General features: G+C 43.8%; 1 protein-coding gene and 1 long non-coding RNA gene across 2 annotated transcripts in view, besides 1 other annotated feature; one reads left to right on the forward strand and one right to left on the reverse strand.

Annotated features, from left to right (window-relative positions):
• KCNJ6-AS1 (KCNJ6 antisense RNA 1) overlaps window positions 1–25,382 on the forward strand; it is a 222,067-nt gene that overhangs the window by 182,166 nt on the left and 14,519 nt on the right. Inside the window, exons 3-5 of the long non-coding RNA NR_183540.1 lie at window positions 9,513–9,642; window positions 13,435–15,400; window positions 16,320–16,434. This is a non-coding gene — a long non-coding RNA (KCNJ6 antisense RNA 1). The remainder of the gene's footprint in view (window positions 1–9,512; window positions 9,643–13,434; window positions 15,401–16,319; window positions 16,435–25,382) is intronic.
• The window catches only part of KCNJ6 (potassium inwardly rectifying channel subfamily J member 6), a 309,085-nt gene that overhangs the window by 93,429 nt on the left and 190,274 nt on the right, over window positions 1–25,382 (reverse strand). Inside the window, exon 3 of the mRNA NM_002240.5 lies at window positions 13,410–14,330. Coding sequence (NP_002231.1) covers window positions 13,410–14,330 — 921 coding nt within the window. The remainder of the gene's footprint in view (window positions 1–13,409; window positions 14,331–25,382) is intronic.
• Window positions 11,532–11,581: a silencer, noted in NCBI's record as "silent region_13309". NCBI's record gives its function as "represses an Ori minimal core promoter by ATAC-STARR-seq in GM12878 lymphoblastoid cells {active_cell/tissue: GM12878}" and the evidence as "EXISTENCE:reporter gene assay evidence [ECO:0000049][PMID:35858748]".

Below are 25,382 nucleotides of genomic sequence, written 5' to 3' on the forward strand. Positions count from 1 at the left end.
CTATTCCACAGACTTCCCAGCAGATGGCAGTAGAGTGTCTTGAGGAGGGATGCCTTTTGCTCATTTGCATAAGAGAGCCTATGGTCTGGCAGCAGCCCCATGGGAATAGCTGGGCTGTGGAGCACGTGGGAGGGAAGAGCACAAGATGACGGCCAGGTCATTTCCGACCTGGGCACCTGGGAGACAAAGTTCCTTTCATCAAGATATGAAATGCATGACAGGAAGCAAATCTGACTTTAGGACACATTATATTTTAGGGACTTGAGAGCCACCCCAATGGAGATGCCCAGGAGGACACAGCTGCCTGGGTCTGTAGCTTAGGAGAGAGGCATGGGGCTGTGCCTGTGGGAACTACCTCTATACTGACGGAGGTGGTGCCCAGAGGCAGGAAGAGATTGCCTGGGAAAATGTGCAGAAGGGAAGCATTGAGGGTGCAGGACAGAGCCCTGGGGAACCACCGAGGTTTTGAATTGCAGGTGGAGGAAGGGAACCTTGAAGGAGACAGGGAGGAGGCGGTTGGAACTGGTTGCCTGGAGTTATTCCCATTGCCAGAAGGTAGAGGCTTCAGGTTTGACCAAGACCAGGTTAACTTTTTGTGTGTGTGTGTGTGGCAATTTTAAGTGACTCAAGACTTCTTTTCTATGTGCTTAAGAGAGCAGTCTGGTTTGTGACCACATAGGAGATTTCACTCATTTATTCCTCCTTTCATTCTCTCTGTACCTATGTATCCAGGGCCCGCTGTGGTCCAGGAACTGCTCTGGGTACTGAGAGGATAGCAATGAGCAAGACAAGGCCTTGCTCTCACAGAGCTTACATTCTAATTGGTAATAATTAAATTAATGACATAATGTCAGCTGGCCATGAGTGCCACACAGCATTGTATGACGCACAGTGGTCAGGGAGCTAGTTTCTTTTGGGTGATCAGAGAAGACCTCCTGAGCAAGATCTCTGTGCTCAGGATTGGAAACCCATGTGGCTGCAACATGTCAGTTGGGAAGAGGTTGGAGGTGAGAGCAGACAAGCAGGCAGGAGCCAGGCCAGGGGGATCTTATAGGCCAAAGATTTTTCCAAGTGCAGTGAAAATCCACTGGAGGGTTTTAAGCAAGTGAGGTGATTTGCTCTGATTTATGTCTTACTAAGAGTGCTCTGGGCCGGGCACGGTGGCTCATGCCTGTGATCCCAGCACTTTGGGAGGCTGAGGTGGGTGGATCACTTGAGGTCAGGAGTTCGAGACCAGCCTGGCCAATGTGGTGAAACCCCGTCTCTACTAAAAATACAAAAATTAGCTGGGCGTGGTGGTGGGCGCCTGTAATCCCAGCTACTTGGGAGGCTGAGGCAGGAGAATCGCTTGAACCCAGGAGGCGGAGGTTGCAGTCAGCTGAGATCGTACCACTGCACTCTAGCCTGGATGACAGAGTGAGATTTTGTCTCACAAAAAAAAAAAAAAAAAAAAGCTCTGACTGTTCTGTGCCAAGTGAACTTTGGTAGCGTGGTCATTAGCAGATAGACCAGTTGAACGTCACGGCCTCCACATTATGACAACTTAATCTGGGATGGTGGCCATAGAGACAGACATATTTTGGAAGTAATACCCATAGGATTTCCATGGTAAGGGACTGAGATGAATCTCCGATGACGCTGTAGTTTTTGACTTGAGTCACAGTATGGCTCAGGATAACATTTATGGCCCTGGGGAAGATGAAGAGCCGAACAGCCTCTAGAGGACTTGGGAAATCTCTAGCTTCTGCTTTGGCCATACTGGTTGTACAAGCTTGTTAGGCCACGTATGCATTTAAATCTTTGAGTGCAGAGCTCAGGGGAGAGGTTAGTACTGAAGATAGAAATTTAGTGTCACATAGAAAAAGATGGTAATTAAAGACAAGGGCTGAAGTCGCTGAGAAGGAAAGTAGGGGACAGGACTCTGGTTGGAATAGGCTCTGAGGCATTTTGGGAAGAGGAGAATAGCTTGCAGAAGAGAATGGAAAGGCACTCTTATTGAGGTAGGAGGGAAAGCAGTAGGGGAGTCATGAGTGCCAAGGAAGAAAGTGCTGGAGAGGGAGGCTGCGGTCAAGTGCGCTAATGATGTGGAGAGGCCAGGGAACCCAGGAACAGTGGAGTGGTCTTTGGATCTGGCGGGATGGACGTTGTTGGTGAGTTTTGGTGGTGTGGTGGGAAGGGAAGCCCATTTGAGATGGGAAGTAAGAAAGTGGCGAAGGAGAGGACAGGTGATTCTTTCTAGAAGTCCTGAGAGAAAGAGAGCTGAGAAATGGGAAACTACTAGAAAGGGACATGGCACCAAAAGAAGTATAGTTTTGTTTTTCTTTGTTTGTTCTTTGAGGTGGTGGATATTAGGGAATGTTTTGATGTTGATGGAAATAGAACTATTAGGAAAAATTGGTGATGGAGGAAAGAAAGAGGATGGTTGTAGTCCAAAAGTCTTTGAGTAGGCTGAGGGAATGGGAGTTGGAGATGGCCCTTGATGGAACAGGGCTCCACAGCAACAGGGGGGAAGAAAGAGGGAGAGGCCCAGGTGTGTGGCAGAAATGGGAAAGAGGGAGAGGCCCAGGTATGTGGTGGAAATGGTCGTGAGAAGATGCCAGTGTTCGGTCTGATTGCTTCTATTTTCTCAACTAAGCATGAGACCAGGTTGCTATCTAAGGGGGAGATGGTGTTGAAAGACTGAAGAGAGGGAAGAAAGTAGAAATCAAGAGTTTGGTGGGTTGGAAGATAAAAAGACTAAACATTTATATTAAATTCATATTACATCTGTGGATTTCGTTTCATTATAAGAAGAGACCCTGGGGTGAGACATATGACAGGTACCCCCTGAAGGCAAGTGCACAAAACATCTAACACCCTCCGTGCCCCCTCTCCACTGGGCCACCACCTTCCTGGGTCATGGGTGCTCACTGTTCATGAGATGCTCCTTGTACCTGGTCAAGTATGTGTCAGACTGCACTCAAGGACAGAAACGCCACTGTGCCATTCTACCTTTCAATGTGGTAGTGGAGGACACCTTGCCTGGCTGGCACAGGGAACTCAAAGTACCCACACTGAGCCTCTTCAATGTCGGGGATGAGAAATCCAGCCACAGGTGAGGCTTTTGCTAATTCATCCACCAAACCCAGGATGTGACTCCATGCAGCTGTATTGGAACCCAGCCCCGCCTTGCCCTGCTGGGCCTGGTTTGTGGGTGGCCCCTCAAGCTGCCTTCCCTTTCATTTGTAGTCATGACCCATCTGTTGTTGGCTTAACAGATATGATCTCTCTCTTCCCCTAGCCTTGGGGGTATGGGGTAACACAGGGTCTGCAGGCCATGCTGAACATGCTGAGGTCCCTTTGGGGGAACAAAAAGAAATTCTGCTGGAGGGACCAGGAAAGTGCTTGAAAATCTCTCTTGACCCATCCGTGTCGGACCTCACGAATCCTTAACATCATCTAGGGGGATCACGAACCAGCAGCATATTTGTTCCCCTGAGGTTGTACACCTTTTCCAACTTTGTTTGAGGAAACATAAAGTACATATTACTGAGTATGTTAAGCAAACAAAGCCCTGCTTTTTATCACTACTTTAGCTTTCCAAGTTGTATTAAACATACTTAATTTTGGGCCAATGCGAATGGAGCCTTAGTCTATTTTAGACTCAGTCTCTACAGTCTAGCCATCTCAGCTATCCCCTATTGTACATTCTCCTCTAATCCCATTACTCATCAAGCCCTCCATTATCCGTCCGCTTTCACAGATTTCTATTAATATTTACACTATATAAAACATGCTTGAGGAAATGTAAAAGGAAATGTATTTACTTAGCAGATGAATAATTAAAATCTTCCTAGGATGGCCTCAGTATGAGTCGTCGTCATCATCATCATCATCATCATCATCTCCAAAAAGGGTCTTGTTGAGTGTTTTACAGTGGAATGGAAACCCCAGCCGAGCTTAATTAGGCTGATCAAAGCCTATATCTTTTTATTATAGTGCTTTCTGGCAGGGAATTCAGAGTCAAAATTGATTTTTCCCTTTCAATGTTAAACTTTTTTTTTTCCTCCCTTAAGGGTTTGTCAGCTGGCCGCACTTTGGGTTACACTTGGTTGCACTTTGGGTTATACTTGGCACGGCACCAGGGCATTTTGGATGGGGTTAACCCAGAGCTTCAACTGGCACAGTCACCTGATAACACTGAATTGGGTAGAACTGGAGGGTGGGAGCCTCTAGACTGCCCTTTCAAGGGACTCAATGCCAACTGTTATGCAAGACTGGATCATTCCTGCCTGCCTCCTGCAGTCAGGAAAGGGGAGCCCAGTGGAGAAGCCATGGCCTGTAATCAAGAAATTATATATCATTGAGCCATAGTTGTCGGTGCATTAATGAACTCGAATCAATAACCACTATCTTGGAGCTCCTCAAACATGCCATAGGATTTGTGTAGGCTCCTCTAGAGGGGCACTGGAGCAGATAGACTGGGGAAGGGGCAGCCCTGAGACTGCATCCTGGCTTCATCACTTCACCAGCTGGGTGACCTTGGCCAAGTTACTGTCTTCCCAACCCCCTTGCAAGAGCCAACTTCCTCATTTGTTAAATGGGAATGGTACCCACATTTCAGAATTGCTTTGAAGATTTAAAATAATCCATGCAAAACATCTAATAAGGTAATTGGCATCCATTAGGCATGAAATAAATGACAGCTATGAGAACAGTATGATTCACAGAATCATAGTGTCACTCTCTTAATTGATTGAGCACCTACTACGCACCAGGCTCCACAGTGAAGGATGTGCATGATTATCTCGTGGAATCTTTTTGTAGGTACAAGTATCATTCCCATTTTTCAGAATGGGGAAAAAAAGATTTTGTGAAGGTAAGGAATGTGATATACTCAATCACAGGGATAGTCAAGAGTGGAGACAGAGTTTGAATTCAGTCTGTCTGATCTCAGTCTTCACCAGTGAAGAAAGAATTTAAAAGCTAGAGGAGAAGTTCTGCAAAGTAGCCAGCTGCAGATTCATTTCCTGGCAAGTCTAGTATGCTTGGCAGTATACAATGGCCAACTTGTCAAAATGTTAATGTGACATTTTATATCAGGCAAGATAGGCTAGATTTTACCTTGGTGACAAGCAACCCAAATTTCAGTAGCTTAACCCAACATAAGGTTATTTCCTCAGTCATCCTGTATATCACATGGGACTTGGCTTGAGGTCTACTCTTCAAAGCCAGTCAAGGGTCAGGAGGACAGAAGCTTCTCTGTGACATGTGCTTCCACGAGAGCCTTAAGAAGTGGGAAGGGAACACACTTTGGCTTGTAAAGTTTCCACCAGAGGGATACTCACCTCTTAATGTTTCTATTGATGGGACTACTGTTCGCATAGCCCTGTTCAACAAGAATAGGGAAATGCAATCTAATACGTGTCTGAAAGGATGAAAGCTGGGAATTTTTGGTGAACACGCTAATGACACCACACATTTCAAAACCTAACTCACAAAAAATTTTTCAGCTCAGCTTACTGGTTTTCAAAACCATGAGGCGATCTGTGGTAAACTGAAATTGTTGCTCTCAATGATTTACTCGAAGCTCCTGTGAAAAAATTATATTTCCCCATTTTATTGACATTAGGCACTGCCATATGACTTGCTATGACTAACAAATTGTGAGCAGAAGCGAGTGTTTGGCCCTGTCTCTTGTTTTTCCCTGACTTAAGAACGGTGTGTCCTATGTAGGGGCTGCTCCTTCAGTCTGCATCTTGGAGAAAACAGGCTGTAAACAGCTGCGGCTGCCATGTAGTGCGAATGAGAAATAAACCACTGTTTTCAGCCTTTGGGGTTGTCTGTTACAGCAGCATAACTTAGCCAAAGCAGACTGATATAGTATCTATCATTCTTTCTATGTAAACAGAGAATAATGAAATTGGCTACATAGAAATTCACATTTACTGTCCACTTCGTTGAAGTATAGCTGTACTTTAAAGCAGATGTATCTATAAGAACTAACCATGAAAGTAAATATTATTTGGTTAACAGCACAGAAATGCATTTTCTAAATTGGAACATCAGCTGATACCTCAGAATTCTTATGAAAAATCTAGGAGAGGAAATGGGAATATAGAAATCATATTGTTTTCAAATGTAAACGATTAGTCTTGTTCTCACTGAGCAGTTGCCTCAGAAGACCTGGGAGTAATCTACATTCATGTCCACTTTCGGTAGAAATTGGAATGATGAGACGTTACTATCTATAGGAATGCAAAGTCCCTTCTGACTGAGTCCAGTGATTCTCATTAATTCAGATCCCATCGATTTGTCATTCATGGCAGTACCCGGGCAGAGGCCAGGCTGGCTTTTACCCTTGCATTGTGCTTGTGCACTGTGTGGCCTGGTGCTCACAGGTTAACACTCGCTGTTTTGACTATTCAGAGTGGTTTTAGAGGGGAGTCATTTGTCATTCTATCACAGCACTAACTGCAAGGTCCCTGGGGACAATGAAGATGCTCGCTGGGACTGGGTCTCCCGACTGCCCGGCCTCCTGTCCCCGCAAAGCTTTACTCTTTCTTGTTTTTTGCCTGTGTGGTCTATAGAGGAAGAGATGATCTGCTCTAATGGAATTCAGAGGGTTGAAAGGTTACCCGTGAGTAGGTACCATTATTGTTCCCATTTTAGAGTTGAAGAAATGGAGACAGACAGAGGTTACGTAAGGCAGGGAAGGGAACAACTGTGGCTTGAACCCAGGATGGCCTGATGCTGTAAATGACACAAAGGGGCACAGATGAACTGAGCTATAGCCAGAGAAGTTAATTTGGAAAAAGAAGCTTACTAAGTAATTAATATAACAAACAAGGTTATAAGTGGGTGGGTGTGCCACTGTGGAGCAAGGGCATGATTGACTGAAGCAGCAGCACCTCAGGCTGCTTAGCTGTTTAGTATCTGTGCATGTGTGTGTGTGAATAATTTACATAGCTTTCCCCAGTGATCCTCTTCCGGTCATTAGAAATTGTTGAGTAAAACTGCTTTGCTGGCAACCTGCTGTCCGCACTTGTATTACTGAATGCCCTAGGAAATAATAAAACTCTATTTGTTTAAGGATATGCTAATTAGAGACTTCACACGATTTGACGTTCATCTCCTAATTTGGATGATGCTGTTCCTTTGGAAGATGAGTATTGACTTTAGAGTTTGGGTCTGAGCTAAATTTAGATGCTAGTCCAATTTTGTCCAATGGCTTTGAATTCCACATTGTATATACTGAGAGATCATCACTCACTTCTATTGAGCATCTAATTTAGTGGCTTCTTATGGCCCATTTGGAGAAGGAAGAACAATGGATTTTCTGGTATTGGTGAACAATGAACAATTTTTGCCTTTTTCAATCACAGTAATATATGGTGACCTTGACTCCTTGTCTTCTAAAGTATGGGAAATGTTTAGTGGAGTTATAATGCTAGGTTTCTTACAGTAGCCTGCCTTTTGGAAGGAGTGGTAGAAAAGTTAAGACTCTATGTGTGCACCATAGCATCCAAAATCCAATTGTTAAGACATCTGATGAACCAGAACACAGTGTCCCCAAGCTGTGGAGGATTATAGAGAGTTTACCATATTTGGGGAGCAGTTGTCACCAGTTTTTACCCAGCCAGCCAATGATACTACTGGGATATATTATAATGAGATAGACATATTGGAAGGAAGCCCTGAATAAATGAGCTACACTTAATGCTCAAAAAGAAAGGAGAGCTGGATTTCTTGATTTACGGGTGGCAGATTTTGACCTAGGAAAAACATATTCCATATGTCTTTAAATTGAAAAAAATCACTCCTTATAGAGATTCCTCCAGGAAGATGCCTCTATGAAGAGTTTTACCCAAGTTCTTAGCATTTCAGAGCTCACCAATTAACTCTTTTCCCAGGCTGGGTGGTTGGGGTTATAACTCTTAAGATAAAAAATGGTAAAATTGGAGATAATGGCTTGGCAATGGAGGGATCAGCAGTAAATTATCAAAAGGAGAAAAATAAGATTTGAAAAATGTAGCAGCTATGAAATATCATTACTAGAAACAGTTTAAGAGCATGGTGATGCTTACCCTCAGCAGTCTTATCTTTTCAAAGGCTGCAATCTCATATTCTCCCCTGCTAGGGTAGATTGGCATTTTTGATTACAGTAAAGAAAAATGTGCCTGGAAATCAGACCTGACAGAACATCATGTTCTTCCAGGGGTATTTTTGTAGACAATGCTTATTTAATTTTGATTTCAGAATTGTTTTGTGGTACATCTCATTCTGATACATGGTTGTTTAAAATTCATGTCAATGTCTACGTAATTTAAAAATGAATTGATAACATTTGGAAACAGAAGAACCTTAAAGGAAAGGAAGAACTAATGGTGAGAGAAAAGAATTGAGGGCACATTAATACCAGTCATCTGCACATGAAATATCAGTTGTTGACTGGGCGCGGTGGCTCACACCTGTAATCCCAGCACTTTGGGAGGCCAAGGTGGGTGGATCACCTGAGGTGGGGAGTTCCAGACCAGCCTGACCAACACGGAGAAACCCCATCTCTACTAAAATTACAAAATTAGCCGGGCGCGGTGGTGGTGCATGCCTGTAATCCCAGCTACTCAGGAGGCTGAGGCAGGAGAATCGTTTGAACCCAGGAGGCGGAGGTTGCAGTGAGCCAAGATCACGCCACTGCACTCCAGCCTGGGCAACGAGAGCAAAACCCTGTCTCAAAAAAAAGAAAAGAAAAGAAAAGAAATATCAGGTGTCTTTTCTGGGTGCATTTCTCTGCCGAATCATCATGAATCAGCAGCACTCATGGTGCAAAGGGCACTGAACACAGAGTGCCCGACAACACCATTGGTGGCTGTGGCTTTCAAGGTCCTGCCCTGCTAGTGGCTATTTGACCTTAGCCAAGTCACGGGTCTTGTTGAGGTTCCATTTCTTCATCTGTGAAATGGGCAAAGATTCCCTCCAACTCAAAAATTTTATGATCTGTGGTGTGATTTATGTGACTAAAATTCTCTGCCTGGGAATAACTATACTAGTGACAGAACTGAGCTTTTCTGTGGTGAAGGATGGGTGATGGGTTGCCTTCACCTATTTCCAGTGAACACTGGCTGTCCTCCTTGTTAACTCCCAGATGGCAACTTCCGATTAATTGGCCTTGCCTCCTTGTCTATAAAGTGTTCTCTGGTGTGTTTCATCCTCCACTCTCCCCAGTGTTCTATGCAGTATTTAAATCTTTCAGAAGTTATCTTCTTTAAGAAAAACTTATTGGAAAAAAAAACAGATGGAAGAAGAAGTCATAGATTAAGAGGCTTACAAGATATCTCAACCAATCACCATGTGTTAACCTTATTTGTATCCTGATTCAAACAAGCTGATTGTAAATATAAAAAACAGTGACATGTAAGAGACGATTGGAAGTTTGAACACTTGGTAGATGTTGGATCTTAATTTATTGGTCATTATTTTAGGTGTCATAATGGTATGATAGCTATGTTTTTAAAAGAATCCTTATCTTTTAGGGGCACATACCGAAATATTTGCAGATGAGGATGATGTGATTCTGGTGGGCAGCCAATGAGTGGGGATACAGAGGAAGCAAGTTTGACCCTGAATTGATAATCACTGGAGCAGAATGACGGGGACACAGAGGTTAGTGATACTACTGGGTCTGTTTTTGTGTAAGTCTGATAGGTTCCATCAAAAGAAGTGTAAAATAACCAAAAGGCTTAACGGGGACTCATCCTTGCCAGCACATTTGCCGAGGAGTGGGCAAGTGCTGCCTGTCGCAGTTGTATAATCGCTGGGGGTAAATGTGGAAGTTCGTCAATCAGCAAGGCCGTAGTGGGGGCTGACTGGCAGCAAGCCCAGCGCTGCGTGGCTGTCATCTTGCCTCGAGGCCCATTTGCCCTCTATAAATAACAGTCTATATGAATGCTTTACTATTTTAACACACATGGGCCACAGCTGCTGAGCACGTTTGTTTACGTAGCTATGAAACCTTCTGTAAACACCACTATCTCAAAATCGCCCATGTGTCAGGAACATAAACGGCCCCCTTTAAAAATATATCTGCAGATGAGACACAGCCAACTCCTAGATGTCTGAGTGGCTGGTGTCAGAATTTTCCAGGGTTTGATTCATTTTCAAAAATAGAACCACATGACTGGAAGGTTCTTGAAAGGTCGCCTGGCATGTCCCTCCTGACTTCAGGCGGGACCAGGCCAAAGCCATTCACAAAGGACTCGGGGCTGTTCTGCGTGGGCATGGGTCTGTCTTTTGTGCAGTCCCTTCAAGGCCATGAAAGGGGGGCTCGCTTCCAGCCTTCAAGGAGCCCACTTTCGTTTTCTAAAAATGGAACCTGACCCTGCAATGCGGCTGGCATTGGAAGGCAGTGCATCCACAGAGCACCACTCGCCTGCACCGGGCCTGAGCTCCCAGCAGACGGAAGGACCCAGGTGGCCTCCTGTGGGACAACTCCGGTCTCCGGAAAACACCACGCTGGGATCATCCTGTGCCCAGGATGCCTGCTTCCTAACAGGGAAGAGGGCACCGCGTGAAGGTGGCCATGTGGGCCTTCCCTCCTCCCTGGAAGAGGCCTGCTCGTGGAGACCACTGAGCACAGCAGGTTAAGGTCAACTGCGACATTGTTGAAAGAAGTGATGAGCGCAGGGGAAGCTGTTTTGTGTCAGCTTGCTATTATCACGGCTCCTGATTTCCAGTCCAGCACTACAATGAATAATTAGATCCCTGTGAATTTGTTTTCCTCGAGTGTGCATTTGGTCCACATTTTTTTTTCCTGTGGTTTTGAGAGATTGAAGCATTTTTCTCCCCTAAGGGCCTGTTTAATGCCCATAAATCCTAATTGAGCTTTTCATTCACAAAGAAACAGTATCCTGCTGAAGCGTAAGAGAGCAGCTGTGCTGGGGGTACTGAGTTGTATGATTCCCCTGAGGAAAAGACCAAGACACTTCCAGTTTCCAGACACCTCCAGAACTTTCTAGAACCCCCCCCCCAAGTCTAGAAATTAGAAGACTATTTTTTAAAAGAAAATGAGTAGCAGTTGCCTTTTCCCAGGGATGGGGTGAGCGTTTGGATTGATTTTGCTGGTAATTACTCAGATTTCTCTATGAAAGCTGTAGAAAGGCCATAGGGTGCTCAGAGGCAAGTATCACTGTTAATTACCAAGAAAACCATATTCCTCCCTTTGGAAAGGCTCACTCATTACCAGCTGTCATCAGAAAGCCAGGGCCTGCCCCAGGGAGAATTCTGACTCAGGGACATCACAAAGATAATTTGCTTATTCCAGATTCATTTATTTTACAGAGATTGGGCTCTGGTTTGAGGGAACACAAAGCTTAACTCCCACAATTTAAAGCTCAGACTAGCATCAGTAACCAGAGGGTACGTCTCCAGTGGTTTTTGCTTCTTGAGCTTGGAGACACTGCCCTCTCTCATGTCCTCTTGGGGGAATTTATGGTGAAAAGGGAAAAGAAAAACTGCATCCTGAGTGGTCAGTTCATAGTGTCAGAGGCTGTAGCTCTGTGGCCGCTAGGGGGATCCAGAGTCCCTGTGCTCAGCTGAGGTTGGGGAAGTTTCTGGTCTGTAGGAAAGTGACAGCTCCCTGTTTGAATTATTTCTCTTTCCTCCCTCCTCCCCAGCCTCCCCTCCTCCTCTCTCCCTCCTCCCTTTCTCTTCCCTCCCTCCTCCCCTTCTCCTCCTCTCCTTCCTCCCTTTCTCTTCCCTCCCTCCTCCTCCCTCCCTCCTCCCCTTCTCCTCCTCTTCTTCCTCCCTTTCTCTTCCCTCCCTCCTCCCCTCCTCCTCTCTCCCTCCTCTTCCCTCCCTCCTCCCCTTCTCCTCCTCTCCTTCCTCCCTTTCTCTTCCCTCCTTCCTCCCCTTCTCCTCCTCTCCTTCCTCCCTTTCTCTTCCCTCCTTCCTCCCCTTCTCCTCCTCTCCTTCCTCCCCTTCCTCCTCCCCTGCCTTCCCTTCTACTTCTCCCTTCTATCTCCCTTCCTCCTCCCCACCCAACTATTGCCACACAAATGCACCCCCAAATCAGGCTCAAGGTACAGATAGTCCTGTTAACACCTGGAGCACTTATGTCTTATTTTGCAACAGTGACTTTTGTTATTCTTTAAAGCTACTTTCCGATTAGGTTCCTGTGCCTTTTGTTCTATGGAAAGGAGACCGCTCCTACCATTGAGCTCCATGCAAAGCCCTTTACTCACGTTTTCACTGTTTGCTGCATTTAAAAACCCTATAGCAAAAGTTTCACACCACCACCGTAAAAGAAATTTGTGAGAGGTTGTGACCTTGCCTGTTGGGTACAGGGAGGTAGAAACATGGGACCCATGGCTTTTCCCTAAAAGGGATCACAGGATTAAGTTACTTGTCACAGGTTGATGAAGAACATGGGGCCAGCCTGCTGGTCATGCAATTTCAGACAATATAAACCACCTGAATCTCAAGCTGAAGACTTAAAAGCGTAAAAGGGCTGATGGTATCAGGAAAAAGGACCCCAAAGACACTATTACTACCTCAAAGAACAATAAAGACCTTAATGAATTAGGGTTCTGGTTTATACTTTCCCCGTGAGGCACTATGGTTATCTTGAGTCCTAGCTGATGGCTCTGTTTTGGGGGATGTTACATACAAACATGGGCAGAACCTGCTTTGCTGTTGGGATGTGTAACGTGCAAATTTCAGACATGAGCGAAGACGTCAGTAAAAACAGACCATTTTCTCTATTTCCTGAACAGATCATCTTCCCTAAAACATCCCAATGATTAGCCATTAACAGCAGGAGGGCCGGCGGGATTAAGATGAATGGATCTTCAACTTTTTTCTTTTCTGCTAGAGTTATTTACTGTGTCTGCAGCTTTATACTTACTGGGAGCTCAGCAGGTTGAATGTGGAGAGATACTAGGCACTCACTTCATACAAAAGAAAAACCAATGCTATAGGCCTTATAAATGACTCTCAAAGAATGGGTGAAATTGCATTTTTATTAAAGCAGTTTGTCAGGCTTCCTTTGAAAGGCTTAACTTCCTCCTTCTAACTTGGTAACAAATAACCTCAAGTATTTAAATTAGCAATGTTTTAAGGCCATTTAAAACATGCTTTAGAGACAGATCAGAGTTTAATTTAGGTAAATATTTGGAGACTTAAAATATATTACATGGTGATTTTTCATTGTTCATTAATTTATTTTCCAAAGGGCTTTAAAAAACTAAATGGTTAGGCTTCTTGGTGGATATACTTCAGGTGAGACATGTAGGCATACTATGTCATGAAGCAAGGGGATGTTGTCAATATTGAGTGAGGTTCAGTATTCTAGATCTTGTAATAGATAAGAACATCAGGTCCAGTTTAAAATGAGCATCTATCCCACAGCCATCCCAGGATAGAACACATCTTACCTGTGGCTTCCACCATTCCTTCTAGGATGACCACAATTTCCAGTTCCTCTTTGGGCAGCTGGGCTTTGGAGATCTCCCAGAAAGGACTCTGTTGGTTAATTTCATGGCTAATGATCAGCGGTGACACCAGAAACAGACGGTCATCCCCCGTGTAATACCCTACGTTGATATCCGTCTGGTTCAACGGGATGAACTCCCCCTCCGAGGTCTGTTTGGATTTGATCAACTTGGCTCTGATGGAAGCCTCCACAATGTGGGAATTCCTAAGGTCCCCTACCCGGAACATCAGGCACAGTTTCCCATCCCGCATGGAGATCACTGCATGGGTGGAAAAGACCAGGGTCTCTGCCCTCTTCTTGGGTTGAGAGATTTTTACAAACATGCATCCCACCATGAATGCATTGACAATGGACCCCAACACAGATTGGATTAAGAGAAGAATAATTCCCTCTGGGCATTTATCTGTGATGACCCGGTAGCCATAACCAATGGTGGTTTCTGTCTCTATTGAGAATAAAAAAGCAGAGACGAACCCGTTGAGGTTGGTAACACAAGGAGTCCAGGAGGGGTCCTCTATGTGGTCCATGTCTCCCCGTATGTATGCGATCAACCACCAGATCATTCCAAAAAAGAGCCAGGTCACTGTGTAAACCATGACAAAAATCAATAGGTTGAATCTCCACTTCAGGTCCACTAATGTGGTGAAGATATCGGTCAGGTAGCGATAGGTCTCCCTCACGTTGCCGTGATGAACATTGCACTTTCCGTCTTTCCTCACGTACCTCTGGATTTTCCTTTTGGTCCGATCTCGGCTGATGTGTCTTGGCAGGTCATCCCTGGCCTGCTTAGGCAACTTTGGCTGGTGAATGGCCACTGGGCTTTCGACGTCCTGATCCATGGAGTCGCCCTCCAGGACGTTAGCTGGTGGTTTGGAGAAAAGAAAAGAAACACTGAATGAAAGGCTGGCTCTTTGAGGACAATGGAACGGCACACTTTGTATGGGCTGGTGAAACCAAATACCATTTGTGTAGCTATAAACAAAGTAGACAAAGCCATTTTTATTCCACACCATCTGGATAGGCCTCTAGTTGACTTGGACTTCTGTGCTCTTCGATCTAGTTTGTGTAAGTACTTCACCATCCTGCCCACCAGGACGGAGCTTATTGCTGCAAAATTGTGTCCCTGCCAGCAGGTTCTACTGAGTCAGCTCTCACAGAGGGATGCCTCCCAACTCTGAGATGCTGTGGCATGGGAGAGGCAGTAAGCTCTGATGAAGGAGTCCTCTTTAGATTCAGACAGGCTTAGCTCTACTACTTAGCAACTCTTAGTGGGCTCTTGGCCATGATATCTGTTATGGACTGTATTGTGTCCTCACCAAATCCATATGGGGCTTGAGCCCCAACCCCTAAGGTGACAGTATTGGGAGATAAGGCCTTTAAGGAGATAGTTAAAGGTTATATGAGGCCATAGGGTTGGGGCTCCAATCTAATAGGACTGGTATCCTTATGCGAAGAGGGAGAGACACCAGGGGTGCACACAAACAGAGGAAAAGCCATATGAGACACAGGGAGAAGGTGGCCATCTGCAAACCAAGGAGAGAGGGCTCCCAGAAACTAACCCTGCCAACACCTTGATCTTGAACTCCAGCCTCCAGAACGATGAGAAAATAAATGTCCATTGTTTAAGCCACCCATTCTGTGATATTTTATTATGGCAGCCTGAACTGACTTACAACACACTATCCAAATTCGTGAGCCTCAGTTTCCTCATTTACAAAATTGATCATGATACCCAACTCACAGTGTTGTTATAAGGTTAAACAAAACCATGTATGTGATCTGTGCCTGCATGTAACAGACTTGCAATCAATATTTTTTTGTAATAAATTGTTCCCTTGTCACTTTCCTTATGTTTAGGGCAAGAGTCTTGAACAAGCTCTTTGAACTATTGGCCAAATTTCAGGGTTTAAAAAACATTTCTGGTTTTTGTCGGTAAGTATGCATGCATTGTACTTTAATGGTTGATTCAATGCCAAGGTAAGTAAAAAAGGGTGGGGAAATGTTCTCTCTGTCTGTGTGCTTACATATTTGATTTGGTTTCTGCCTCCTCAACATTCAACATCTGTAATTTTAGCTTGTGGTTATTTTTTTTCTTTTAAAAAAGTTTAAATTTTTTTTTTTTTTTTTAGAGATAGGGTCTCGCTCTGCCACCCAGGCTAGAGTATAGTGGCACCATCATAGCTCTCTGCAGCCTTGATCTCCTGGGTTCAAGTGATCCTCCCACCTCAGCCTCCTGAGTAGGCACAGGAGGCTCAGGCTTATGTCACTATGCCTGGCCAATTATTTTATTTTCATGGAGACGGGGGTCTCACTATGTTGCTCAGACTGGTCTTGAACTCCTGGTCTCAAGCCATCCTCACACCTTGGCCTCCCAAAATGCTGGGATTACAAGCATGAGGCACCATGTCTAGTTATGTTGTTTCTTATGGCTTTCATGATTAATGCACTGGTTCACTCATTAGTTAATAATGCATTAGGAAAGCTCTCCTAAAACTTGAGTGCAGGGGAATTTTGGAACCGATTTCTGCTGTTTAAAAGCATATAATCCACTTATGAAATTATTTATTTGGCCAATAATACTAAAGTCTTCTACAAGTTTGGTAAGAAATTTCTTCCTCCAGACTTAAATTCTGTGTCGTTTGACTCTGCCATGTGTTTCCTTTATGGACACTCTGTTTTTAATCTTGGTTAAAGGACAAATGTCATCTCTCCACAAACCATCATTTATCTGAATAAGAACATAGCCGGAGATGGGATTTGAGTGCCCCCAACCTAACTTATGAGTTAACCTTGCTCATGGATGATCAGTTGCCTTAAAAATCAATCTCCTGGATCTGTTTTTGTGTTTCAGCCTCAGGAAGAGACAGCATCTGTTCTGCAGAGCCTACTCTCTAGTCTGACAGCTTTGACTTTTAGATGATCTCCCTCAGTAGTCCTTCATTGAAAATAAGAAAAGTCATTCATTTGTAAGAAAATTTGCTTTTTTCCCTTTCTTAGAACAAATACCAGGATAGGTGTTGATGGGGGGCTGTTGAGGTTGGGAGGGCTGGAGGTGGGGTGGGTGTATGGATGGAGGCAGAGGCCATGTCCTTCTCACTGGAGTTAGGGTGGGTGTGTGGAGGGAGGCAGGGGCCATGTCCTTCTCACTGGAGATGGGGTGGGTGTATGGATGGAGGCAAAGGCCATGTCCTTCTCACTGGAGGTGGGTTGGGATGTGTGGAGGGAGGCAGAGGCCATGGCTTTCTCACTGCCGCTACCCCCTACATGGCAGGGTGTTCTTGTCCTTGAATGGTCAACAACTCTGAGCTCTCACTGCTAATTTTGTGCTGAGTGGAAGTCTCTAAATATGACTTTATATGGAACGGTGTCTGGGCTCAAACTGTGCCTGGCTGGGGAGACCTTGTCTGCAGAGCCCTGCGAAGGGTCCAGCAGGCCTGGTGTATATCCCGTCTTGACCGCTGGGAGGCTGCCCAGCTGTGCAAAGCCACCCTAAGCTCTTGTCTTTCTGAGTCCTTAAGTGGGAGAAGAGGGTTTGTCAAATTAGCTGATTCTCAAGTCTTCAGTGATATATCATACTTAAAAAATGTTACAAAGGAAATTTATTCCTGCCTCCCCTCCATCTCCAATTTGTAGGCTTTATCCCTTTTCTGACTAAACTGCAAACCCCCAGCTCCAGGCAATTGTCCTGACCTGGAAGAACCTGTTTTGAAAGGTTAATGAATGAGTAGCGATCAGTGCTCTGGAAAGTCTGGGGGGATATCTGTTACTCCCCTAAAATCCAGTTCCTCCCAGGGCTGGACCACATTTCTCATCCTCTTTGCATTGAGGGTTGGCCATGGTGATTGAGTCTTGGCCCATCTGGAGTTGAGTGTGTCTTCCTGGGCCATTGTCCTAAACAGTGGATGTGTCCCCTCCTTATGCCTTTGCCCCTTCTGTGGGGGACAATGAAGTCAAGAGGTGAAGGAGCCTGGATCCTGAGTCATGGGTGGAGAGCTGCTATCTATCTGTCTAGAAACCAGAAAAGCAATGATTGTGTTTGACCCATTATATATTTTGTGTCTGTTTTCAAATTGAGCCTTATCTCTAATGTTGTGGGAAGAAATATATGACACCTATAAGCAGATAGAAGAGTGGTCAGGGGGAATGGTTGTGGGAAAGAGCAAAGACAGAGAAAAGAAAGCCGAAGATGAATGTCTGGGTTTAGTGTTTGTAATGAATTAGTCTGGGGTTAATTAAATGCTTGTGTTTGTTATTAGGGGAAGAAATGTAATGCAATGCTACTTCATTGCCTTTAAAAACCAACAAAAAGTAAACACTGCATATTCTCATAGGTGGGAATTGAACAATGAGAACACTTGGATGCAGGGCGGGGAACATCACACACCGGTGCCTGTTAGGGGGTGGGGGATTGGGGGAGGGATAGTATTAGGAGAAATACCTAATGTAAATGACAAGTTGATGGGTGCAGCACACCAACATGGCACATGTATACCTATGTAACAAACCTGCACGTTGTGCACAGGTACCCTAGAACTTAAAGTATAATAATAAAAAAAAAATACAATAACAATGGGAAACAAAAAAACAACAAAAATTTCAAAACAAACAGAAAAAGCCAAACCTCCCTGGTAGTGTGTTTGGAAGGTGGCTCCGGTGGGTCCCTCCCAGGTGAGGCCGTGGGTGCAGGCCAGGTGCATCCATGGGGAGATGGGGAGGGAAGGCTGGGCCTTGCATCATGGCAGCTGGTGGGATGAACAGGCATGGAGTTGAGAGAAATAAAAAAAGCCAAGGAAATGTGAGAGTTCTGGGAGAGAAGAGATGAAGGAGGAGCCCCGAGGGGCCAGGAGGAGGAGAGGGTGTGGGGTATGGGGTGGGTGAGAGCAAAAGAGGGGCCAGAGCCTCAGGGCTGTGTCCAGAGTCATCACAGGGAATGGGGCTAGGGAGAGAGGGCGAGTCCAGGTCTGAGCAGGGAGCGGCGGCTCAGCACTCACTGGCATGCATGCAGATGTTGCAGGGTAAATATAGAAGGAAATGGTGATCACATTTTGTGACATTTCTTTCTTTCTCGGAATCCCAGGTGTGAATTTGAGCGGGGGATCTGAATCGCATCTCCAGGAGCATTTTGAGCTGCTCCGTAGGGCAAGTTGCAGCTGTGGTTGGGAGAGCAGACATTTCTCCCATGTTACTGCACAGCTGATGACACAGGCAACTTCTTACCACCAAGGATAATGTAGAGGGGGTACACCCTCTGTTAACCATGAAATGCTGCACAAATGTGCAAAGGGACCCAAAGAATGGCGCTGAGAACTTTGATGATTTACTTGACTTTGAGAGTAGCTTTTCAGGATTTTGGCTCAGAGTAAATGTGGGCCTGTGTGAAGGTCAGTTTTTCTCCTCCTCTCTTTTGTTTCTTTCTCCTTCTCTTTTAGAAAAATTATCAATTTACATGGAACTAGCTAAGGTACAAAATAGCCTCATGTTGAAATTTAATCTGAAAGAAATAATAATAAATGACAGAGCCACAGCTGGGCGGAGCCTTGTCCTCGAATCAGTGGGATTGTGTTGTTGCATTTCAGGTACAGCTCTTGTTGCAGGGAAGCCTCCCCTGGTGGCCCTGGTCTGTAGTAGATGTTTCTTACATTTCAAGTTGTATATGAATTTTGCAGGTGAAACTTCCAGTATCCAAGAAAACATACAAAAAGTACTTTGAGACTTTTTAATGTCGTGGGGAAAACCTAGTTGAGAAAAACAGGATAGATCTCTAATGTACCTGCAAAGTCAAAGATTGGAAGGAAATACACCAGATGTGAATGTTAATAGGGCAATTTTGGGTGGGGGGGTTCATGAGTACTTTTAATTTTCTTGTTAAACAAACATTTTTGAAATTTTCTAGAATACATTTATATTACTTTTATAATTAAAAAAACAAATTGCCAAACAACACATCGAGACACTCTAGATACCTGATTTAAGAAATGTATCACACAAAGAGCTAAATAATGATAAAGCACTTGATCTGAAGGTATCCCATCCCATACAGCTGACAATTTAGAAACTGAGACATTTGCTTGACCTGAATCCAAGAAAATCGTAACTAAACCCTACAGGGTCCTTATTGGGGGTATGAATTAGAAGGAAAAATGAGAATGTATGCAAGTTTGAGGCAACTTGAGGAGTGAAACCTATAGGACAAGTCGAGTCAGCTATCCCTGTAACTGTCCAGGGGACCTTGAAGGAGGAGGGTGTCCAGGAGGCCTGGGGGCTGGGGGCGCTGTCACAGTGAGCTAAGGAGAACGGGACAGATGTCATCTTTCTCTTGGGTTTAACCAAGTGTCAGTTGTTTGGGCAGTGCCCTTAGTGACACAGAAGTGTGGTTTCTTCCTCATCAAAAATCACCCCCAACCCACAGAATGGGAGAAAACATTTTCTTTTCTTTTTTTTTTTTTTTTGAGACGGAGTCTCGCTCTGTCGCCCAGGCCGGACTGCGGACTGCAGTGGCGCAATCTCGGCTCACTGCAAGCTCCGCTTCCCGGGTTCACGCCATTCTCCTGCCTCAGCCTCCCGAGTAGCTGGGACTACAGGCGCCCGCCACCGCGCCCGGCTAATTTTTTGTATTTTTAGTAGAGACGGGGTTTCACCTTGTTAGCCAGGATGGTCTCGATCTCCTGACCTCATGATCCACCCGCCTCGGCCTCCCAAAGTGCTGGGATTACAGGCGTGAGCCACCGCGCCCGGCCGAGAAAACATTTTCTAGTCATACATCTGATAAGGGACTGGGATCCAGAATATATAAAGAACTCTTACACCTTAACAAAAAATAAACAACCCATTCAGAAATGGGCAAAGGACTTGAATAGACATCTCTCCAAAGAAGATATCCAAATGGCCAATAAACAAATGAAAAGAAATTCTTCATTGCTAGTCATTAGAAAAATGCAAATCAAAGCCATAATGAGATACCACTTCACATCTATTAGATGGTTATTATTTTAAAAAAAGAAAATAGCAAGTGTTGGCAGGATGTAGAGAAATTGGAATGCTGGTATATCACTGGTGGGAGTGTAAAACAGTGCAGCTGCTATGAAAAACAGTATCTTAGTCCCTCAAAAAGTTAAACATAGAATTACCATGTAATCCAGCAATTGCACTTCTAGGAAACCCAAAGGGATTGAAAGCAGGGGCTCAAACAGATACTTGCACACCAGTGTTCATACTAGCATTCTCCACAGCAGTGAAAAGGTGAATACAACTGTTGCGTCAAGAAATGAATCGCTAAACAAAATGTGGTATGTACATACAATGGATTATTACTCAGCCTTAAAAAGGAAGGAGATTCTGATATATGCTACAACATGGGTGAACCTTGAAGACATTATTTAAATGAAATAAACCAGACACAAAAGGACAAACATATGGAAGGAAATTCTGATACAGGCTACAACATGGCCTCATTGGAAATAGATTTCCGCCGGTTGGAAGTAAGTTAAAACACTGTGGAAACAGAGATCAGAGAAAGGGGCACTGGGGAGGGTATGGGCAACATTACATTTCAATTTGTCTTGGGTGTAGAGCAGGATGGGTTAGCCCAAGGTAATGGTGAGTATGTGCTTGCTTCCTGATGGACAAAGACTGGGATGGTGGGGCATCTGAAAAGCAAGCACAGGAAGTCCTAGCCAGAGCAATCAGGCAAGGGAAAGAAATAAAGTACATCCAAATAGGAAGAGAAGAAGTAAAATGATCTCTCTTTGCTGATAATATGATTCTATACCTAAAAAATACTAAAGACTCTGCCAAAAGGCTCCTGGAACTGATAAACAACTTCGGTAGAGTTTCAGGATGCAAAAATCAATGTACAAAAATCAGTGTCATTTCTATACACTAATAATGTTCAAGCTGAGAGCTGAATCAAGAATAAAATCCCACTTATCATAGCCACACAAAAATAAAACACCTAGGAATATATCTAACCAAGGAGGTGAATGATCTCTACAAGAACTACAAAACACTGTGGAAAGAAATCAGAGATGACACAAATGGAAAAACATCCCATGCTCATGGACTGGAAGAATCAATATCATTAAAACAGCCATATTGCCCAAAGCAATCTACAGATTCAATGCTATTCCTATGAAACTACCAATGTCATTTTTCACAGATTTATAAAAACTGTTCTAAAATTCATATGGAACCAAAAAACCTGAATAGCTAAAGCAATCGTAGGCAAAAAGTACAAAGCCAGAAGCATCACATTATCTGACTTCAAACTACACTATAAGGCTACAGTAACCAAAACAGCACGGTACTGGTACAAAAACAGACACATAGACCAATGCAACAGAACAGAGAACTCAGCAATAAAGCCACATACCTATAGCCATCTGATCTTTGACAAGGTTGACAAAAATAAGCAGTGGGGAAAGGACTTTCTATTTAATAATGGTACTGGGATAGCTGGCTAGCCATGTGCAGAAGAATGAAATTCAATCCCTACCTTTCACCATATACAAAGATTAACTCAATATAGATTAAAAGTTTAAATGTAAGACCTCAAACTATAAGAATCCTAGGAGGAAACCTAGGAAACACCATTCTGGACATCAGCCTTCGGAAAGAATATATGACTACGTCCCTTGAAAACAATTGCAACAAGTCAAAAGTTGATACGCAGGCCCTAATTAAACTAAAGAGCCTCTGTACAGCAAAACAAACTATCAACAGGGTAAACAGACAACCAAGGTAATGGGAGATAATATTGGCAAACTGCATCTGACTAAGGTGTAATATCCAAAATCTAAAAGGAATTTAATTTAACAAGGAAAAAACAACCCCATTAACAAGTGGGCAACAGACATAAACAGACTTCTCAAAAGAAGACATACAAGTGGTCAACAAACATATGAAAAAATGTTTAACATCTCCGATCATCAGAGAAATGCAAATGAAAGCCGCAGTGAGATACCTTCTCACACCAGTCAGAATGGCTATTATTAAAAAGTCAAAAAACAACAGATGCTTGTGAGGCTGTGGAGAAAAGGGAAACTTATATACTGTTGGTGGAAATATAAATTAGTTTAGCCACGGTGGAAAGCAATTTGGAGATTTCTCAAAGAACTCAGAGCTGCCATTCAACCCAGCAATCCCACTACTGAATATATTCCTAAAGGAAAATAAATTCTTCTACCAAGAAGATACATGCATTTGTATGTTCATCGCAGCATTATTCACAAAGAGTAAAGACATGGAATCAACCTAGGTGCCCATCATTGGTGGACTGGTTAAAGAAAATGTGGTACAATACACCATGGAATACTACACAGCCATGAAAAGAATGAAATCACATCCTTTGCAGCATAGTAGGTGGAGGTCATTATCCCAAGTGAATTAACGCAGGAACAGAAAACCAAATACTGTATGTTCTCACTTATGAGTAGGAGCTAAACACTGAGGATTAATGGATGTAAAGATAGCATTGGGAAACACTGGGGACTACTAGAGGGGAGAAGGAGGGACGGGCTCAAGGGTTGAAAACCTATTGGTACTACGTTCACTAAATGTGTGACAGAATGCTGTACTCCAAACCTCAGCATCAAGCAATATGCCCATGTAACAATCCTGCACACGTACTCCTTGAATCTAAAATACAAATTGACTGATAGAAAACAAATAAAAAAAAAAAAGAAAAGCAAGAACAGCATGTGTAAAAGTCTTTAAAGGCATGAAACAACTTTGGTTGGGAGTGGCACAGATTCTGCACTGCTGGTATGCGGTGTGCGTGGAGGAAATGAAGGGGAATGGGAAATGAGAAAAGAGAGGTGGATGAAGCCCACGCTGGGCCCTGAAGTCCTCTGTGCTAGACTAAGGAGATTGTTTTTAAACTGGGGAGTGATATGATTGAGTATTTTGAGTGTTTTAGAAAGGTCTCTGAAGAGCAGTGGTATGGAGTATAGATTAGATGCAAGGGTCGGCAAGCATTCTGTAAAGAGCCAGACGGTAAATACTTTTGCTTAGTCAATGTGTTGCTTTCAGGAAACACAGGTCTCTGTTGCATATTAAAAAAAAAAACTTTTTACAACCCTTACAACACGCACAACTATTACTAGGTTTTAGCTCATGGGTAACACAGGAAGCGTCTGCAGTCTGGCTTTGAGTCACTGGGCAGTCGGTTGTTGAAGGGTGCCTGTAGGAAGGAGAAATGGCCAGGTGCTGAAATAAGGAGGCAGCCATGGGAGTGAAGAGATGGCAGTGGATTTGGGGCTAAGAAGTAGAACTGATTTAAGTTGGAGACTAGTGAGTGTGGAGGGGAGTGGGCAGGAGAATGACCCAATGGCGGTTGGGTAGTATGGTGGTCGAGACAGGAAGAATGGATTTTGGATGGCAGAGGATCATGTTCGTTTGGGCATATTCAGTTTAAAGTATCTGCAGACATTCAGGTGAGTTCTCCTGTAGGCAACCAGGTGTGTGGGGCTAGAGCTGAGGGCGACCTGGACCTGGAGCAGTTGCAGAGGAAGCATTTCTCAAGGGCATTATTCACTGCAGGCTGTGGGACAACTGATTGCCCTCCTGGAAAAAAAATGATGAGTCTTCTCCTTATTCCTTTTATTAGAATAAATTCTAAAGAGATCAAGGATTTAAAGGCAAAAAATAAAACTACAGAAGTGTAAGATGTCTTAAAAAAAATTCTAAGATTTAGGCAGGCCTTTTTTTAACCATGACAGAAATCCAGAAACTATTTTAAAAGAATATTTCTGACAATGTAAAAATTGTAAATGTCTATTAAAAAAACAGGAAAAATATTTACAACACGACACATATATATTCCCAGTTTACAAAAGCAATAAATACCCCAACAGAAAAAAATGGTCAAAGGAAATAAATGAGGAGTTTCTGATAGAAGGAATATGGATCATGAGATCAGAAGTTCCAGACCAACCTGGCCAACATAGTGAAACCCTGTCTCTATTAAAAATACAAAAATTAGCTGGGCATGGTGGTGCGTGCTGGTAATCCCAGCTACTTAGGAGGCTGAGGCAAGAGAATCGCTTGAACCTGGGAGGCAGAGGTTGCAGTGAGCCGAGATCACGCCACTGAACTCCAGCCTGGGCAATAGAGCAAGACTCTGTCTTAAAAAAAGTAGCTAGAAAACATATAAAAAGACTGTCCATCCATGGCAAAGGAAAGCAATACAAATAAGATAAACTTTGTTACCCTAAGATTCGCAAAATTTTAAATAAATGACAAATGAGTATGTGAAAGGTGTGTGTTGGGAGAGGAAGTGTAATTTCATACTTGTATGTATTATGTGTAATAGCACAGTCTTTCCGGAAGGAAGGGTAAGAGTAGGTATCACAATTTAGAAATGAAAATTCACCTTGGACTGACAATTGAGGGTCATTTATTCTAAGGAATTAACATAACAAATATTCATAAATTGTATGCAGGGATGTAGTACAGCCTCTTTTATAATAGTGAAAAATCAGAAACAACCCAAATGTCTATCACCAGAGCATTGGTTAAACATACTGCTGCAGATATAATCAATGGAATACCATGCAGTCATTAAAAATTATTTTTCAACATTTTGGGATCTTCAACTCTTTGCAAAGATTATCTTTTCAATGAAGCTTGCATTTATTTATTTGTTTTTTGTTTTTTTGAGATGGAGTTTCACTCTTGTCACCCAGGCTGGGGTGCAATGGAGTGAACTCAGCTCACTGCAACCTCTGCCTCCCGGGTTCAAGCAATTCTCCTGCTTCAGCCTCCCAAGTAGCTGGGACTACAGGTGCATGCCACCATGCCTGGCTAATTTTTGTATTTTTAGTAGAGATGGGGTTTCACCATGTTGGCCAGGCTGGTGTTGAACTCCTGACCTCAGGTGATCCACCCCCCTCGTCCTTCCAAAGTGCTGGGATTACAG

Source organism: Homo sapiens, chromosome 21, assembly GCF_000001405.40.
Source record: "Homo sapiens chromosome 21, GRCh38.p14 Primary Assembly".
Classification (NCBI taxonomy): Eukaryota; Metazoa; Chordata; class Mammalia; order Primates; family Hominidae; genus Homo; species Homo sapiens.